Raw genomic sequence first — 20,261 nt, 5'->3', positions numbered from 1 at the left:
CAAAAATGGAAGGTTTTGGGCTACAGCCTTAATAAAACAAACAAATATGAGCATAGTGGTCTACAGATGGAATATCTGGGGCTCTAAACAAACTGCTACTTGAAAGTATAATCATTGTCTTTTTGTTTGTTTCTTTAGCCTGGTAGGACAATGTCAGAAATTTCCTTGGTCATAGGGAATATAAAACATAGTTTGAACAAAAGTAGCAATAAAGCTACAAACTATTTTTTGGTGTATTTGCTTAAGTATAAGATAGCTGATTGGGGCTTTATCATGTAACGTTAGTTTGCTTAGTTTTCATTAAGTTTGTTAAACTTGAATTGTGAATAAATATATGGCTGATTCATATTGTAATTAAACTGCACATTGACATAAACTGTACGTTAAAAGTTGCTGCACACAGTCATCCAAAATAATACTTAGGTAAAACCAAATATAGTATAAACCAATGTCAAGGAATCTACCCTAAAATAAAAATACAGTTAACATGGAATTGCAAAACTAGAATGGGAGAAATATTTTCCCATAAAATCTTGTTTGGAACATTGATATAACACTAGAAAAGAATTTTTCTAAATAACTACAATGTTCAACTGTGACTGTGCATCTGTGAAGACGAGGCACTTTGAATCATTGCCCTGTGGTGTGTGGCGGTACAATTTTACAGAAATGCACTACAATAATTAATAAAATTCTCTAATGGGAAGATTTTAATGAATAAGTATTTACACTATGAATATTTATAATATTGGTACTATTATTTCACAAAATAAAAAAGCTGTATTACAGCCTTTAAAAGCAAATAATAGCCTCACATTTCTAAATAAAGAAAAAATGTAAATTTTATGAAATATGGTTAAGGGTAATTGATAAAATAAAAATTGGGCCATAAATTATAGTTTGGATAGAGGTTGAAAAAAGTGGATGAAAATTTTAATGAGTCCTTTTTGCCTGCACTAAACTTAATCTTATGGGTAAACATTATGATATATATATGGTACCTACTAGCTATCTAATTTACTTTTTACAGAATGTATAAATCCTAGCCTATTGGTCTTAATATTTGAACCTAAAATAACACACAAACATACAAGAGAACAAAATAAGGAAGAAGTGTATGGAGAGAGTGACATTATCAAGGTGGTGGAATAGGGGGTCTCTACTGTTGTATTCCCCTGCAGCAATAAAAACTAGTCAGCCATCCATCAACGAAAGTAACTTTATGAGAGATCCAGGCACAGTGGCTCATGACAGTAATCTCCTCGATTCAGGAGCCTGAGGCGGGAGGACTGCCAGGCCAGTAGTTCAAAAACAGCCTGTGCAATATAGTAAGCTTTGGGATACAAGGCATTATGAAACCTTGCTAAAACCCAAGATCGAAAAGGGCCATTTTGAGAAGGCAGGGCCTTTGGTTAATAAGGTATCATATTATCCAAAGCAATCTGTAAGTTAAATCAAATCCCTATCAAAATCCCTGTTCCATTTTTTATAGTAATAGAAAATGCAAGCCTACAATGTAGGCTGAATGGCCAAGCCAATCATGAGGAATAAGAAAAAAGCTGGGGACATCATACTCGTGACTCACACAAAACAGTTCAAAAGTCACTGTTTGTAGATAACCTGGGGAAAACCTGCTAGGTACTCAGTGGGAGCCACACTCACCCACACATCTGCTATTAGGCCCAGCATATAGCAGAACCTGCCCTAGTGCCTGCTCCACAAAACAAAGCCCTGAAGACAATCCAGCCTGCCCAAAAACATGACAGAACTCACAACCACACGTGCTCCTGGTAACAAGCCCACTAAAGGTAACACCCACTTCAGATTCGGCAGCCACATTGTGACACAGCTACGAGCCTTTTTACTGCAAACCCAGTAAAGATCTCATCAGCCTTGAGACCCAACAGATGAAGATCTTTACCTACTAAAATCAGTTTATAAAAATGAACAGAGGTGGCTGGGCACAGTGGCTCACACCTGTAATCCCAGCCCTTTGGGAGGCCGAGGTGGGTGGATCAAGAGGTCAGGAGTTCAAGACCAGCCTGGCCAAGATGGTGAAACACTGTCTCTACTAAAAATACCAAAATTAGCCAGGCATGGTGGTTGGCGCCTGTAATCCCAGCTACTTGGGATGCTGAGGTAGAGAATTGCTTGAGCCCAGGAGGTGGAGGTTGCAGTGAGCCAAGATCGTGCCACAGCACTCCAGCCTGGGTGACAGAGCGAGACTCCGTCTCAAAAACAAAACAACAACAACAACAACAAAAAATGAAACGAGGTGTTTTCTCCTTCAAATGTGCAAACACCAATGCAAGTCTATATTATGCCCATTCTAACGGTTCTGTTTTAACATAGAACTGGAAGTCCTAGTAGAACAATTAAGTCCTACATCAAATAATTAAGCAAGAAAAACTAAAAGATCCAAATTGAAAAGAAGAAATAACGTCACAGTCTGTAAATGACATAATGTTATATTTAAAAAAACATAAATACTACATTTAAATAATGCGTTTAATGCATCTATATATAAATAGTGCATCTAATAAATGCACTCAGTGAAGAAGCAGAATATACAATTAGCATACACACATCAGTTTTGTTTCTATATGGTAGCAACAAACCAGTAAAAAAGAAAAAAAATCTCATTTACAATAGCAACAAAATAATAGATTTCTTAGCAATAAATTTAACCAATGTGGTGAAAGATCTTTACAATAAAAAATAAAATATATTGATAAAAAATAAAGAAGATACAAATAAATGTAAATATATTACATGTCCATGGATTAGAAGAATATTGTCTAAGTGCCATATTATCCAAAGCAATCTGTAGATTAATTCAACTTCCTATCAAAATTCCTGTGCCACTTTTTACAGTAATGGAAAATAAAGTCTGCAATGTATATAAAACTATAAGAAATATTGAATGGCCAAAGCTATCATGAGGAATAAAACAAAATCTGGGGACATTATACTTTATTATTTAAAACTGCATTTCAAGACAACAGTAAACATAATGGAATGGAATGTTTATAGGAACAAACACAAAAACCAATGGAACAGAATACAGAGCCCAGAAGTAAATCTATGTATCTAAAGTTAATCTTTGACAAGGGCACTATGAATATGCAATATAAAAACTGTAGCCTTTTCAATACTTAGTGCTGGGAAAACTGGATACTCGCAAGCACAATAATAAAACTTGATCATATTTCTTACACCAGACACAAAAATTGACTTAAAATAAAGACTTAAATTTAATACATAAATCCTTAAAAGAAAATCTTTAGAAAAGCATACGAATAGCAACTATGATACTGGCCTTGGCAATGTTTTTTTAAATATGATATCAAAAGTATAGCAATAAAACCAGACACAAAGTTGTAGTGTATTAAATTATTGTGCACAGCAAAAAATAAGAAAACATTTAAGATGGGATAAAATATTTGCAAACCATATATGATAAGAGGTTAGTATTCAAAATATAGCAGAAACTCATACAAATCAGAAGCTAAACAATAATAATTATAATACCCAACTAAAAAACAGCAAAAGACTAAACTTTTTTTATTATTATTATTATACTTTAACTTTTAGGGTACATGTGCACAACGTGCAGGTTTGTTACATATGTATACATGTGCCATGTTGGTTTGCTGCACCCATTAACTCGTCATTTAGCATTAGGTACATCTCCTAATATTATCCTTCCCCCCTCCCCCACCCCGCAACAGGCCCCTGTGTGATGTTCCCTTTCCTGTGTCCATGTGTTCTCATTGTTCAATTCCCACCTATGAGTGAAAACATGCGGTGTCTGTTTTTTGTCCTTGCGATAGTTTGCTGAGAATGATGGTTTCCAGCTTCATCCATGTCCCTACAAAGGACATGAACTCATCATTTTTTATGGCTGCATAGTATTCCATGGTCCATATGTGCCACATTTTCTTAATCCAGTCTATCATTGTTGGACATTTGGATTGGTTCCAAGTCTTTGCTACTGTGAATAGTGCCGCAATAAACATACGTGTGCATGTGTCTTTATAGCAGCATGATTTATAATCCTTGGGGTATACACCCAGTAATGGGATGGCTGGGTCAAATGGTATTTCTAGTTCTAGATCCTTGAGGGATCACCACACTGACTTCCGAAATGGTCGAACTAGTTTACAGTCCCACCAACAGTGTAAAAGTGTTCCTATTTCTCCACATCCTCTCCAGCACCTGTTGTTTCCTGACTTTTTGATGATTGCCATTCTAACTGGTGTGAGATGGTATCTCACTGTGGTTTTGATTTGCATTTCTTTGATGGCCAGTGATGGTGAGCATTTTTCATGTGTTTTTTGGCTGCATAAATGTCTTCTTTTGAGAAGTGTCTTTTCATATCCTTCACCCACTTGTTGATGGGGTTGTTTGTTTTTTTTCTTGTTAATTTGCTTGAGCTCATTGTAGATTCTGGATATTAGCCCTTTGTCAGCTGAGTAGGTTGCAAAAATTTTCTCCCATTCTGTATTTTGCCAGTTCACTCTGATGGTGGTTTTTTCTGTGCAGAAGTTCTTTAGTTTAATTAGATCCCATTTGTCAATTTTGGCTTTTGTTGCCATTGTTTTTGGTGTTTTAGACATGAAGTCCTTGCCCATGCCTATGTCCTGAATGGTATTGCCTAGGTTTACTTCTAGTGTTTTTATGGTTTTAGGTCTAACATGTAAGTCTTTAATCCATCTTGAATTGATTTTTGTATAAGGTGTAAGGAAGGGATCCAGTTTCAGCTTTCTACATATGGCTAGCCAGTTTTCCCAGCACCATTTATTAAATAGGGAATCCTTTCCCCATTGCTTGTTTTTCTCAGGTTTGTCAAAGATCAGATAGTTGTACATATGCAGCATTATTTGTGAGGGCTCTGTTCTATTCCATTGATCTATATCTCTGTTTTGGTACCAGTATCATGCTGTTTTGGTTACTGTAGTCTTGTAGTACAGTTTGAAGTCAGGTAGCATGATGCCTTCAGCTTTGTTCTTTTGGCTTGGGATTGACTTGGTGATGCAGGCTCTTTTTTGGTTCCATATAAACTTTAAAGTAGTTTTTTTCCAATTCTGTGAAGAAAGTCATTGGTAGCTTGATGGGGATGGCATTGAATCTATAAATTATCTGGGGCAGTATGGCCATTTTCATGATATTGATTCTTCCCACCCAAGAGCATGGAATGTTCTTCCATTTGTTTGTATCCTCTTTTATTTCATTGAGCAGTGGTTTATATTTCTCCTTGAAGAGTTCCTTCACATGGCTTGTAAGTTGGATTCCTAGATATTTTATCCTCTTTGAAGCAATTGTGAATGGGAGTTCACTCATGATTTGGCTCTCTGTTTGTTTGTCTGTTATTGGTGTATAAGAATGCTTGTGATTTTTGCACATCGATTTTGTATCCTGAGACTTTGCTGAAGTTGCTTATCAACTTAAGGAGATTTTGGGCTGAGACAACGGGGTTTTCTAGATATACAATCATGTCATCAGCAAACAGGAGCAATTTGACTTCCTCTTTTCTTAATTGAATGCCTTTTATTCCCTTCTCCTGCCTGATAGCACTGGCCAGAACTTCCAACACTATGCTGAATAGGAGTGGTGAGAGACGGCATCCATGTCTTGTGCCAGTTTTCAAAGGGAATGCTTCCAGTTTTTGTCCATTCAGTATGATATTGTCTGTGGGTTAGTCATAGATAGCTCTTATTATTTTGAGATACGTCCCATCAATACCTAATCTATTGAGAGGTTTTAGCATGAAAAGTTGTTGAATTTTGTCAAAGGCCTTTTCTGCATCTATTGAGATAATCTTGTATTTTTTGGCTTTGATTCTGTTTATATGCTAGATTATGTTTATTGATTTTCGTATGTTGAACCAGCCTTGTATCCCCAGGATAAAGCCCTCTTGATCATGGTGGATAAGTTTTTTGATGTGTTGCTGGATTCAGTTTGCCAGTATTTTATTGAGGATTTTTGCATCAATGTTCATCAACGATATTGGTCTAAAATGCTCTTTTTTTGTTTCGTCTCTGCCAGGCTTTGGTATCAGGATGATGGTGGTCTCATAAAATGAGTTAGGGAGGATTCCCTCTTTTTCCATTGATTGGAATAATTTCAGAAGGAATGGTACCAAATCCTCCTTGTACTTCTGGTAGAATTCGGCTGTGAATCCATCTGGTCCTGGACTTTCTTTGTTGGTAAGCTATTAATTATTTCATTAATTTCAGAGCCTGTTATTGGTTTATTCAGAGATTCAACTTCTTCCTGGTTTAGTCTTGGGAGAGTGTATGTGTCGAGGAATTTACCCACTTTTTCTAGATTTTCTAGGTTATTTATGTAGAGGTGTTTATAGTATTCTCTGACAGTAGTTTGCATTTCTGTGGGATCAGTCGTGATATCCCCTTTGTCATTTTTTATTGTGTCTATTTGATTCATCTCTCTTTTCTTCTTTATTATTCTTGCTAGTGGTCTATCAATTTTGTTTATCTTTTCAAAAAACCAGCTCCTGGATTCATTGATTTTTTCAAGGGTTTTTTGTGTCTCTATTTCCTTCAGTTCTGCTCTGACCTTAGTTATTTCTTGACTTCTACTAGCTTTTGAATGTGTTTGCTCTTGCTTCTCTAGTTCTTTTAATTGTGATGTTAAGGTGTCAATTTTAGATCTTTCCTGCTTTCTCTTGTGGACATTTAGTGCTATAAATTTCCCTCTACACACTGCTTTGAATGTGTCCCAGAGATTCTGGTATGTTGTGTCTTTGTTCTCATTGGTTTCAAAGAACATCTTTATTTCTGCCTTCATTTCGTTATTTACCCAGTAGTCATTCAGGAGGAAGTTGTTCAGTTTCCATGTAGTTGAGCGGTTTTGAGTGAGTTTCTTAATCCTGAGTTCTAGTTTGACTACACTGTGGTCTGAGAGACAGTTTATTATGATTTCTTTTTTTTTTTTTTTTTTACGTTTGCTGAGGAGTGCTTTACTTCCAACTATGTGGTCAATTTTGGAATATATGTGGTGTGGTGCTGAAAAGAATGTATATTCTGTTGATTTGGAGTGGAGAGTTCTGTAGATGCCTATTAGGTCCGCTTGGTGCAGAGCTGAGTTCAATTCTTGGATATCCTTGTTAACTTTCAATCTTGTTGATTTGTCTAATGTTGACAGTGGGGTGTTAAAGTCTCCGATTACTATTGTGTGGGAGTCTAAGTCTCTTTGTATTTCACTAAGGACTTGCTTTATGAATCCGGGTGCTCCTGTATTGGGTGAATATATATTTATGATAGTTAGTTCTTCTTGCTGAATTGATCCCTTTACCATTATGTAATGGCCTTCTTTGTCTCTTTTGATCTTTGTTGGTTTAATATCTGTTTTATCTGAGACTAGGATTGCAACCCCTGCCTTTTTTTGTTTTCCATTTGCTTTGTACATCTTCCTCCATCCCTTTATGTTGAGCCTGTGTTTGTCTCTGCACATGAGATAGGTTTCCTGAATAGAGCACACTGATGGGTCTTGACTCTTTATCCAATTTGCCAGTTTATGCCTTTTAATTCAAGCATTTAGCCCGTTTACATTGAAGGTTAGTATTGTTAAGTGTGAATTTGATCCTGTCATTATGATGTTAGCTGGTTATTTTGCTCACTAGTTGATGCAGTTTCTTCCTAGCATCGATGATCTTTACAATTTGGCATGTTTTTGCAGTGGCTGGTACCAGTTGTTCCGTTCCATGTTTAGTGCTTGCTTCAGGAGCTCTTTTATTGCAGGTCTGATGGTGACAAAATCTCTCAGCATTTGCTTGTCTGTAAAGGATTTTATTTCTCCTTCACTTATGAAGCTTAGTTTGGCTGGATATGAAATTCTGGGTTGAAAATTCTTTTCTTTAAGAATGTTGAATATTGGTCCCCACTCTCTTCTGGATTGTAGAGTTTCTGCCGAGAGATCAGCTGTTAGTCTGATGGGCTTCCTTTTGTGGGTAACCCAACCTTTCTCTCTGGCTGTCCTTAACATCTTTTCCTTCATTTCAACTTTAGTGAATCTGACAATGACGTGTCTTGGAGTTGCTCTTCTCGAGGAGTATCTTTGTGACATTCTCTGTATTTCCTGAATGTGAATGTTGGCCTGCCTTGTTAGATTGGGGAAGTTCTCCTGGATAATATCCTGCTGATTGATTTCCAACTTGGTTCCATTCTCCCCATCACTTTCATGTACACCAATTAGACATAGATTTGGTCTTTTCATATAGTCCCATATTTCTTGGAGTCTTTGTTCGTTTCTTTTTATTCTTTTTTCTCTAAACTTCTCTTCATGCTTCATTTCATTCATTTCATCTTCCATCACTGATACCCTTTCTTCCAGTTGATCACATCGGTTACTGAGGCTTGTGCATTCATCACATAGTTCTCGTGTCATGGTTTTCAGCTCCATCAGGTCCTTTAAGGACTCTTCTGCATTGGTTATTCTAGTAAGCCATTCATCTAATTTTTTTTCAAAGTTTTTAACTTCTTTGCCATTGGTTTGAACTTCCTCCTTTAGCTCGGAGTAATTTGATCTTCTGAAGCCTTCCTCTCTCAACTCATCAAAGTCATTCTCCGTCCAGCTTTGTTCTGTTGCTGGTGAGGCACAGCGTTCCTTTGGAGGAGGAGAGATGCTATGATGTTTAGAGTTTCCAGTTTTCTGCTCTGTTTTTTCCCCATCTTTATGGTTTTATCTACCTTTGGTCTTTGATGATGGTGACGTACAGATGGGTTTTTTTGTGTGGATGTCCTTTCTGTTTGTTTGTTTTCCTTCTAACAGTCAGGACCCTCAGCTGCAAGTCTGTCGGAGTTTACTGGAGGTCAACTCCAGATCCTGTTTACCTGGGTATCAGCAGCGGTGGCTGCAGAACAGTGGATATTGGTGAACTGCAAATGCTGCTGCCTGATTGTTCCTCTGGATGTTTTGTCTCAGAGGCATACCCAGCCATGTGAGTTGTCAGTCCACCCCTACTTGGGGGTGCCTCCCAGTTATGCTACTCGGGGTTTAGGGACCCACCTGAGGACGCAGTCTGCCCATTCTCAGATCTCAAGCTGTGCGCTGGGAGAACCACTACTCTCTTCAAAGCTGTGGGACAGGGACATTTATGTCTGCAGAGGTTATTGCTGTCTTTTGTTTGTCTGTGCCCTGCCCCCAGAGGTGGAGCCTACAGAGGCAGGCAGGCCTCCTTGAGCTGTGGTGTGCTCCACCCAGTTCAAGCTTCCTGGCTACTTTGTTTACCTACTCAAGCCTGAGCAATTGTGGGTGCCCCTCCACCAGCCCCACTGCCACCTTGCAGTTTGATCTCAGACTGCTGTGCTAGCAATGAGCAAGGCTCCATGGGCATAGGACCCTCCGAGCCATGTGCAGGATATAATCTCCTGGTGTGCTGTTTGTGAAGCTGGTTGTACAAAGTTCAGTATTAGGGTGGGAGTGACCCAATTTTCCAGGTGCCATCTGTCACCCCTTTCTTTGACTAGGAAAGGGAATTCCCTGACCCCTTGTGCTTCCCAGATGAGACGATGCCTCACCCTGCTTTGGCTCATGTGCGGTGCACTATACCCACTGTCCTGCACTCACTGACCGGCACTCCCCTGTGAGATTAGCCTGGTACCTTAGTTGGAAATGCAGAAATCACCCATCTTCTGCATCGCTCATGCTGGTTGCTGTAGACTGGAGCTGTTCCTCTTTGGCCCTCTTGGCTCCACTGACCAAGACTAAATATTTTTTACAAACATATTCAAATGGCCAACAGGTGTGTAGAAAGATGCAAAACATTCCATCCATGAGAAAATTGCAAATCAAAAGATACCAGTTTACAGCAGTTGGAATGGCTAATATCAAAAAAAAGAAACATGACAAGTGTTAACAAGGATGTGACAAAATATTTCTGTACAGTCTTAATGAGTTGCAAACTGGAAGAGTCATTATGAAAATTAGTAAGCAGGTTATTTTAAAAAATAGAAGTATCGTACAATCCCGAAATTCCACTTCTGTCTATAAACAAAATAAAATCAGCATCTCAAAAATTATCTGCACCCTTATATTCAATGCAGCATATTCACAACCATCAAGGGTATTTTTTTTTAAAAAAAGACTTAACTGTAGAAGCTGAATGGATAAGGAAAATGTGGTATAAAAAGACAACCAAATATTATTCACCCATAAAAAAGAATGAAATTCTGCTATTTCAACAACATGAATGGACCTGGGTACATTATGCTGCACAAAATAAGCCAGGCACAGAAAGACAAACACTGTATATTCTCACTTAAATGGAGAATTTAAAAAGCCTGAACTCATAGAAGCAGAGAGTACAATGGTAATGACCAGGCCTGGAGGTAGAAAAAACGATAAGGTGTTCAGAGTACAAACTTTCAGTTATAAGATAAATAAGTTTTGGGGGTCTAAGGTATAGCTTTAAAATGTAGTTAATAACAGTGTTTTGTATGCTTAAAATTTGCTACAACAGTAGGAGACCTTAAATGCTCTCACTACAAAAAACATAACCATGTAAGGTGACATAAATATTCATCAACTTAATTGTATTAAACATTTTACAATATATATACCTATCAAACTTTTGTAATATACACAATACATAATTATGTAATTTTTATTGGTCAAAAAATTAATGTTATGTACACATGCATATATTCCCATAAGTGTGCATAAAGCATATATAAAACATATACATATATATCAATTACATATGTTATGTAAATACTTGTGTGTGTGTGTGTGTGTGTATATATATATATATATACACACATACATATCAATGACAAAAATCCTAGTAAGCTTCAAACTAAACAAGAGAAAACTATAAAATGATAACTATTTAAAAATCAAGAAAAAAATGGGTATTTAATACATGCTCAGCAATATTCTAAGTTCCTCAATGGCAAAGTACATGTTTTAAATGTAGAAAGTAGATACATTAAACCGTATTACAGTTTAGGAATTATGGCACAGAGTGTTTACAGTGTTAGCCTCAATACATACCAAAAACTTAAAATTTTGAAGTAAGATAATATTTGGTTTTATTATATGGGGCAGAGGCTTAGTGTTCTGATTAAATTATTGAGTATGAATTTCTGTAGAATCACATTTGAAACCTTCACAGGATATGAAATTATAAAGCAGAAAACATACGACATCTGGATGTGGTGTTTCTGGGATTTCTAAACCAAATCCCAATATCTCCACTACTCTCACACATTTTAGACAAGACTCAAAATGGAAATTAGAAAATGTTTAACATAGAGTTCCTTAAAAATCACAAACGACCCCATGTCCTCAAAAGCAATAAAACAGCAAGCAGCCAGGTCCTCCAGTCCCTTGTAAGCCATGCAAAGGGCTTTGATTTTCTTTGTAACCTAGAAGAATGATCGTTGAAGGGGAAGTCCAGTCCTAGAAAATTGAAGAGCAAGGGGCAGAAGATGTCTGTCTCTAATGAAAGCAAGAGAAAGAAATCAGGGCTTCTCGGAAAAGATTTCCATTGGAGCATAGCTTCGCAAACCACACTTTAGGATCTGGCTTTCTCCTTGACCTTTGGTCATCTCATCTGTGTCATCTGCCTTATTCACTCCCACCTATTTGGATGTTTGGCTACTATCTCCTGTCTCCTCACACTCTGGGGTTTTTTCTTTTACTCAATGTAGGTGATCAGGTTTAGCTTAGAGAATAGCCAAGTACTCTGTATTAGAAAAAGTAATATGACTTATGCTGTGATTTTCCAATTACTACTTAGTACTGTACTCAGTGGAAAAAACCAGAACATTATAAAAGAGTCTAAAAATGTAATACCAAATACTATTTCCTCACAGAAACGTTATGATATTTAAAAACTTTTCTAAATTTGTGGGTCCTTAGCTCCACAACCCAGTGCTGCTGAATCAAAACTTCGTGGTGGTTGGCTGGGCATGGTGACTCACAGGGCTGATCACAGCACTTTGAGAGGCCAAGGCAGGCAAATAACTTAAGCGCAGGAGTTTGAGGCCAGCCTGGGAAACATCGCGAGACCTAGTCTACGGGATGAGGGTGGGGAGGAGCGGGAAAGGTGGTGGTAATGGGAGGTGGTAATGCGATTATAAGGTGTGGGCAACCATATTTTGTGCCTCTAAATTTGTGGAGTTACCATTAATCTAAAATTAGGGATACAGATCAGCTGAAGAAAGAAAACGATTTATGTCGAGATGAAACCTCCTCGTGGGGGTCTGCAGCTGCAATACCGCCAGGTGGCAGCATCCCACCTCTTTTGCCTGGCTGCAGCCCCACCAGGAGCCCGGCTCCAGCCAGGGCGCTGCAGCAGGTAGTAGACCTGGAAGGCGCAGGTGCGGGTTTCCTGCCCTCCGGGGTGTCTTCCCGCTCCCCGGACCCCAGGCAATTCAATTCATTCATCAAGCGCCGCCGCAACCATCGAAGTTGGGGCAGCAGGTCCCACAGTTGCCAGCCAAGACCTCGGCTCCAGAACCCGTGGGCTGCTTTCCCCGGGGGAAGGACATTGTCTTCGCCAGCCACGAAGAAATCCGTCCCTGTGCACCCTGTTTCCCATTGCCACCAATGTCGTGTAAACTCTAGTCCCGAGGACACGAGAGAGACCCAGACCTGGCCCCGTGGACAAGCTCGGTGCTATAGTTCCACCAGTTGGACGGGTGCACTCTACAAATCTCGGGGCCCACCGCATCAAGGAGACAGAAAGAAGCAAACAAAGGAAGGACCATATGAAACGCACCTCCAAAGAAACCAACCAATCCAAGAAAAAAAAAAAAACACGTCTCAGGGCTCCGTTGGTTTTCCCGCGTGGGCGGCCCTGACCCCGTGTTCTAGCCTGGCCCAAGCACCCTCCACCTCACCCTGGCCTGCTCAAAGTGCCCTGTCTACCTGAGCAGAGCCTCCCTCTCCAAGGCTGTGTCTCTCTCGCTCTACAACTTCCTCACCCTCTCCCTTTCTCTACATCCCCCTCCAACTCTCGCTCTTCTGTCACCTTCTGTCTCTCTCCCCCTCTACTTTTCTCTCTCTCCCCGCATTTCTATCTCTCCATCCCGGTCTCCCTAGCTCTCTTTCAAGCTGTGTCTGTGTCTTTGTCTGTATGTCCTTGTGTGTGTGTCCGTGTGTGTCCGTGTGCGTGTGTCCATGTGTCCGTGTGTGTGTCTTTGTGTGTCCGTGTGTGTGTGTGTGTCTGTGTGTGTGTCCATGTGTGCCTGTGTGTGTGTCGGGGTGGGTTTGCTCGTAGTAGTGTTGGGGTGTGTCTGGGTGTCCGTCAGCCCCTTTCCCGGGATCAGGCTGCCGGGGCTTTAGTGCCAGCGCGGGGCAAAGCAGGCCCTTCCTGTCCCGTTGGCCACGGGCGGGTCCTCGTCGGGACAAGCGATGATGGTGTGGGCATTGTGAGAAAAAGGTCCTGCGGGGCTGGGCCGGCTGTTCGCCCCTGGGCAACCCTGACGGCTCTGGGTGTGTGGGCCAAGAGGGGGCCTTGCAGGAGGGGTGGTGAGGGATCCAAAACAATTTTTCCGCGGCAAGGTGGAGGACCAGAGGGGATCCCAGAACTGTGGGCCCCGGGCCCTGAGGCCTCCAAGCACACCCTGTCCTGAGCCCGCCCGATGTGTTGGAAACTCGGGAGCTCGCGAGCCGGGGGAAGGCCTGGAGTGTCAGCAAAAGGGAGGCCGCCTGGTGGGCCTGTAGTCTGGGCAGGGGACTGAGTCATCACGGACTGATGAGGGATTCCTGTTTCCTGCAACATGGGGAGTCTCCAAAATGGCCTGTTTGGAAACGAAAGGAGAGCGAAGACACGATGCTGCGTTTCCATGCTTCGCTGGAGGTTTCTGTGTCCCCACAGAGCTCGGGAAACAAACAGTCAACATGGTCACGCTTTTGGGGGCCAGAGACACGTGAGCAGCAGGACCCCTTGCAGAGGGCAAAGGAACGTGGAATCCGGAATCTTGGCTCACTCGGCTTGAGTGTGACTCCTGTGTGGGTGGGAGTATCTGCCTTGCGCTCTGTTGCAGGCTCAGCATGGGGATATGTCATCTGTGAACCCTGTGGATGAAAAACGGACAACCATTCAAGTCTCTGCTCTGTTCTTTGGGGAATTCGCTCATTCCCTGGGAGGCGGAAATCCTCTGAATCGCTCCCGGATGAAGTAACCCAGGCTGGCGATCCAGTGGGCAGGTGAGAGCCCCGCAGGCCGACGCGGCTGTGGGCCGAGCACTTAGCCTGCACTGGGCACCCAACATTTTCCCGGAGTGAGAGATCCTGCTGGTCCTGGAGGCAGAAGACTGCTTTTCTCTCTGCCTTCCTCTCTCTGTTTCTTGCTCCCTCCCTCCCTCTTTCCCTCCGTCCCTCCCGCAGTTCCTCCCTCCCTCCCTCCCTCCTTCCCTCTCTCCTTCCTTCTATCCCTCCATCCTTTCCAAGGTCCCTCGGTCCATCCGTTCTTTCTTCCCTTCATCGCTCCCTCCCTCTCTGTCTCCGTTCCTCTCCCCATCTCTGCCTGAGTTCCCTCCCGCATAGAAAGGGCAGCACCCGGGTTTGCGCGGGGTCTCGGGTCTGCATTTAGCTGTCAGGCGCTCCATGGTGATGCCGAGGAAGCTGGCGGGACAAGGGTAGGCGAGTGACGGTGTGGGGGGGAGGCAGAGTTGGAGAGACGCGGAAAGAAGAGCAGATCTGGCGCCTGCCCGGGCCAGTGTTTCCCGGGATGGAGGTCTCCGCCCACCCCACTGAAGAACGCAGTGGGGGGCAAGAGGGAAGGGATGAGAACTCTACCTAGGCTAGTTAGAAAACCTAGGCTACTGCCTGCTAGCCCGCGCATGAGCAGTAGACAGTCCGCCTCCCGGTACCTGGACGGGCCCTGGGATCCCCGGGATGCTCAGAAAAGAATGACAGCCCTCCTCTGAGTGGAGTCTCTCACGGGACCTGGAACTCAGGGATCCTAGGCAGGTCAGCTGGAAGGGAAGACACGCCTCTCCATACCGAGTCAGAGGTTCACCGCGAAAGAGAGGCCGCCGCCCTGCCCCTACCCCGCCCCAACCCCGCGTCCTAAAGCTCCTCCAGCAGAGCCCGGTGTTCTTCCTGGCTAAGGAGTGGTTCCAGCAGAGCGAGCTCTTCCACGTCCTTCAGCTCCCCGCAGTGGCGCTCGATCTAGGAAAGGTTGTGCCTTTTGCTGAAACTCTGGGGTTGACAGGAGCTCATCTAACTGTCTGGGGGTGAGTGTAGACGAGCGCCCCGGCTCCTGGAGGGGTTGGGAGGCGCCTGGATGGCTTGCATATGTGCTTGACGCGGAGGCCTCTGGGGTCGCGAGCTTCGGAAGTGGAGGTGCCCCGTCTTCGGTTTCCCACGCCGCCCTGGCGACCTGGGGCTCCAGCCCCACCGCGGACTCCGGTGGGACGTGGGTGGCGGAAACACACTTTGCCCCTGTGACTTAGCTTGAGGGTACCCAAGCTGTCCCACTGAGCATGCACCCAGCAGGCTGCCGTGCTGCGGGTACTGGACCTCCTGGCATTTGTTGGGGTGCGGAGGCCAACGAGGAATCTGAGGGTGGTACAGTCCTACTTCTAGAGGAGCCAGGGCAGCAAACACAAAATCCCTGCGTGCCGGGGCAGGTTGAGAGATGCCTTCTGCCTACGCAGCCTGGCTGGGCTGGAGCGGGGGAACGGCCCTTGCCCCCTGGCTCACGAAAGCCCCCTGTGGGAGAGCCCCAGGCGTGCAGGGCGTGTGGGGTGCGGCAAGCCCCGTTCCCCATGCCCCGGTGTGGGTGAACTCGATTGAGGAGGGAGGAGGATGACACCCGCCGGGGGTGTTAATTAGTAAGCACAGTGGCCTCAAAGAGCTCAAATGAAAGGAAGAATTGCATGTCTCTCACTTGAAGTCCAGAGCTAGCAATGATTAAGCTTAGTGAAGATGTAAAATTTTCATCGCTAGAGAGACGTCCACACTTGGCTTCAAAACTTCAAAGGATGGGCTGACTGTCTTTGAGGACCACTGCAGTTGGTGACTTTAAGTTACAGCTAGTGCTCATTGACCACTCTGAAAATCTCAGGGCCTTTAGTAATTATGCAAAATCTATTCTTTCTGTGCTCTAGAAATGGAACATCACAGTCTGAGTGACAACACATCTGTTAACAGCATGGTTTACTGAATACTTTAATCCCACTATTGAGACCTACTGCTCAGAAAAAACAACAACAACAACAACAACAACAACAAGATTTCTTTAAAGGGATTGCTGCTTGGCCAGGCACAATGGCTCACACCTGTAATCCCTGCACTTTGGGAGGCGGAGGTAGGTGGATCACCTGAGGTCAGGAGTTCAAGACCAGCCTGGTGAAAACGATGAAACCTCGTCTCTAATAAAAATACAAAAAAAATTAACTAGGCATGGTGGTGGTACCTGTAATTCCAGCTACTTGGGAGGCTGCTGCAGAAGAACGGCTTGAACCCTGGAAGCGGAGGTTGCAGTGAGCCAAGACCATGCCACTGCCCTCCAGCCTGGGCAACAAGAGGGAAACTACATAAAGGCCAAAAATAAAAAAAAAAAAAGGAAAGAAAAGAAAAAAGGAAAAATATTGCTGCTTATGGATAATTCACCTAGCTACCCAAAAGCTTAGATGGAGATGTACTTGGAAATTAATGTTATTTTCATGGCTGCTAATACAATATCTATCCTTCAGCCTGTGGATCAAGGAGTGTTTCTGACTGTCAAGTGTTTTTATTAAATAATAAATGCATTTTGTAAAGGTATAGCTGTCATAGATAGTAATTTCTTTGATGAATCTGGATAAACTGAATTGAAAACCTTTTGGAAAGGTTTCACCATTAATCCCTTCATGATATTTCAACCTCTTCCCATGAATCACAAATATCCTTAATAGCAAATGCCATTAAGGACATTTGTGATTGATGGGAGGAGGTTGAAATATCAACATTAACAGGAGTTTGGAAGAAGTTGATTCCAGCCCTCATGGAAGACTTTGAGGGCTCAGGATGTCAGGGGAGGAAGTCCCTAAAGATGTGGTAGAAGTCGCAAGACAACCAGAATTAGAATTAGGGCCTTTAGATGAGATTAAATTGCTGTAAACCCATGATGAAACTTGAGCAACTGGGGAGTTGCTTCTTATGGATGAGCAAAGAAAATATTTTCTTGAGATGGAATCTACTCCAGGTGGAGATGTTACGAACATTGTTGAAATAACGACAAAGGATTTAGAATATTCCATAAACCTAGTTGATAAAGCAGCAGCAGGGTTTGAGACAGTTTACTTCAATTTTGAAGGAAGTTCTACTGTGGATAAAATGCTATCAAACAGCATCACATGCTACAGGGAAATATTTTGTGAAAGGAACAAACTTCATTGTTTTAAGAAATTGACACAGGCACCCAACCTTCAGCAACCCCCACATTGATCAGTCAGCAGCCATCAACATAGAGGCAAGACCCTCACTGTAAGAGAAAAGAAAGAGAGATCAGACTGTTACTGTGTCTATATAGAAAGGAAAGACGTAAGAGACTCCATTTTGAAAAAGACTTTTACTTTAAACAATTGCTTTGCTGAGACGTTAATTTGTAGCTTCGCCCCAGCCACTTTGTCCCAGCCACTTTGACCCAACCTGGAGCTCACAAAAACATGTGTTTTATGAAATCAAGGTTTAAGGGATCTAGGGCTGTGCAGGATGTGCCTTGTTAACAAAATGTTTACAAGCAGTATACTTGGTAAAAGTCATCGCCATTCTCTAGTCTCAATAAACGAGGGGCACAATGCACTGCAGAAAGCCGCAGGGACCTCTGTTCTTGAAAGCGGGGTATTGTCCAAGGTTTCTCCCCATGTGATAGTCTGAAATATGGCATCATGGGATGAGAAAGACCTGACTGTCCCCCAGCCTGACACCCGTTAAGGGTCTGTGCTGAGGCGGATTAGTAAAAGATTAAAGCCTTTTGCAGTTGAGATAGAGGAAGGCCACTGTCTCCTGGCTGCCCCTGGGAACTGAATGTCTCAGTATAAAACCTGATTGTACATTTGTTCAATTCTAAGATAGGAGAAAAACCGCCCTATGGTGGGAGGCAAGACATGTTTGCAGTAATGCTGCTTTGTTATTCTTTACTCCACTGAGATGTTTGGGTGGAGAGAAACATAAATCTGGCTTACGTGCACGTCCACTCATAGTACCTTCCCTTGAACTTAATTGTGACATAGATTTTTTTGCTCACATGTTTTTTGCTGACCTTCTCCTTATTATCAGCCTGCTCTCCTACTACATTCCTTTTTGCTGAAATAATGAAAATAATAACCAATAAAAACTGAGGGAACTCAGAGGCCGGTGCCGGTGCAGGTCCTTGGTATGCTGAGCGCCAGTCACCTGGGCCTACTGTTGTTTCTCTATACTTTGTCTCTGTGTCTTACTTCTTTTCTCAGTCTCTCGTCCCACCTGACTAGAGATACCCACAAGTGTGGAGGGTAGGCCACCCCTTCACTCACCAGCAAAAAGATTATGACTTGGTAAGGCTCAGATATTCATTGGTATTTTTCAGCAATGAGGTATTTTAAGTTAAGGTATGTACATAGTTTTTTAGACATAATGCGATTACTAATTAAATAATTAATTAATAATTAATTATTAAATACTCATTAGACTACAACATAGTTTAAGCATAACTTTTATAAGCACTGGGAAACAAAATGTTTATGCGACTAACTTGATTGTAACATTTGCCTTATCGTGGTTGTCTAGAACCAAACCCACACTATCTCTGAGTATGCTTGTAGGTTTTTGGTTGTTCTTTGTTTTGAGATGGGGTTTCGCTCTGTCATCCAGGCCAGAGTGCAATGGTATGATCATAGCTCACTGCAGCCTCAAACTACTGGGTCAAGTGATTGTTCTACCACAGCCTCCTGAGTAGCTGGGACTACAGGCATGCAGCACTATGCCTGGCTTTTTTTTTTTTTTTTTTTTTTTTTGAGACGGAGTCTCGCTCTTTCGCCCAGGCCAGAGTGCAGTGGTGCTATCTCTGCTCACTGCAAGCTCTGCCTCCCGGGTTCATGCCATCCTCCTGCCTCAGCCTCCTGAGTAGCTGGGACTACAGGCGCCCAAGCCAGGCCTGGCTAATTTTTTGTATTTTTAGTAGAGACGGGGTTTCACCATGTTAGCCAGTATGGTCTCGATCTCCTGTCCTCGTGATCCACCCGCCTCGGCCTCCTAAAGTGCTGGGATGACAGGCGTGAACCACCTCGCCCGGCCTGCCTTTTCTTTCTAATGGCACAAGCCCCATGGAGTGTGGTGCGTCTGATCTCCGATGCTTTTGAACAGTGTAGAAAGTATTGCTGTCTGAATTTAATTTTTTACTACATGTATGGTCTCGATCGATCACAAGAAGATCAATAACCCCTTCTCCTTATTCTACTTCTCTTTTTAGCAATGGAGAACTTTGATTGGATTTTTCCTGTCTACAGACAGGAATGAGTCTGCTGTTTTCTTTTTTAAACCCGAGGGGACTGAGCCTGAGGGCCTCAAGCGCGGCCATCCTCCCCCAACCCTCAACTGGTGATTTTGGTGGTGGTGGTGGTGGTTTTGTGTTCCAGCTTCTGTTCTGTTCTTGTTGTTTCTGATGCTGCTGCTGCTGCTGGTGCTGTCGTCATTGTTTTGGTATTTTACAGACTCAGGTGGTGTATGTGCTTGTTTGTTAGAACGGCATACTACTGCCTCCAGTTGTAGAAGTGGACCTCCAGTGTATCCGATACCCATGTGGTGAATGTTGTCTCCGACGGGCGATTTATTCATCCTTCGTCCCCCTCTTACCCTCCTCCTCCCTTTTGGAGTGTCTGCTATTTCCATCTTGATGACCGTGTGCGTACCCACTGTTAACCTCCCACTTGTAAGCAGAAGGCAGTTCACTGGGTATATACTTGCTTCCAGCTCTATCCATGTTGTGGGAAAAGACGTGAAATCGCTCTTTTTTGTGCCTGCACCATTGAAGAATTTTAACTTTCTTGGTGGTTGTTTTCCTTTTCTCTTTTCTTTTCTTTTCTTTCCTTTTCTTTTCTTTTCTTTTCTTTCTTTTCTTTTCTTTCTTCCTCCTCCTCCTTCTTTTTTTCATTTTTTTCAGCTGGGCTCTCCTACTTGTGTTGCTCAGTTGCTCGGGCTGGTCTCAAACTCCTGGCCTTGACACTTCTCCCGTCACATCCACCGTCTAGTTGTTGAAATGAGCATCTCTTGTAAAATTGAAAAGATGAAAAAAATAAAGAGAAAGACAAAAAGCACGG

General features: G+C 42.7%; 1 long non-coding RNA gene and 1 pseudogene across 1 annotated transcript, besides 1 other annotated feature; both read right to left on the bottom strand.

Moving 5' to 3' along the window:
* Window positions 1–20,261: part of a centromere (Linear centromere model derived predominantly from reads generated in PMID: 17803354. This region does not represent an actual centromere sequence, as long-range ordering of repeats and unmapped WGS contigs is not provided by the model. For details of model production, see http://arxiv.org/abs/1307.0035.) that runs on past both edges of the window.
* LOC124904968 (uncharacterized) lies at window positions 10,614–14,802 on the bottom strand. The gene is made up of 2 exons (XR_007067752.1): window positions 14,533–14,802; window positions 10,614–14,049 (listed from the first exon to the last, which is right to left on the bottom strand). It is a non-coding gene; the product is annotated as an uncharacterized LOC124904968 (long non-coding RNA).
* On the bottom strand, window positions 14,837–15,803 carry DUX4L36 (double homeobox 4 like 36 (pseudogene); annotated as a pseudogene).

The sequence above is a fragment of the Homo sapiens genome, chromosome 20, assembly GCF_000001405.40.
Source record: "Homo sapiens chromosome 20, GRCh38.p14 Primary Assembly".
Taxonomy (NCBI): Eukaryota; Metazoa; Chordata; class Mammalia; order Primates; family Hominidae; genus Homo; species Homo sapiens.
The sequence above is the reverse complement of the archived record's forward strand: the minus strand, read 5'-3'. Positions and strand labels throughout refer to the sequence as shown.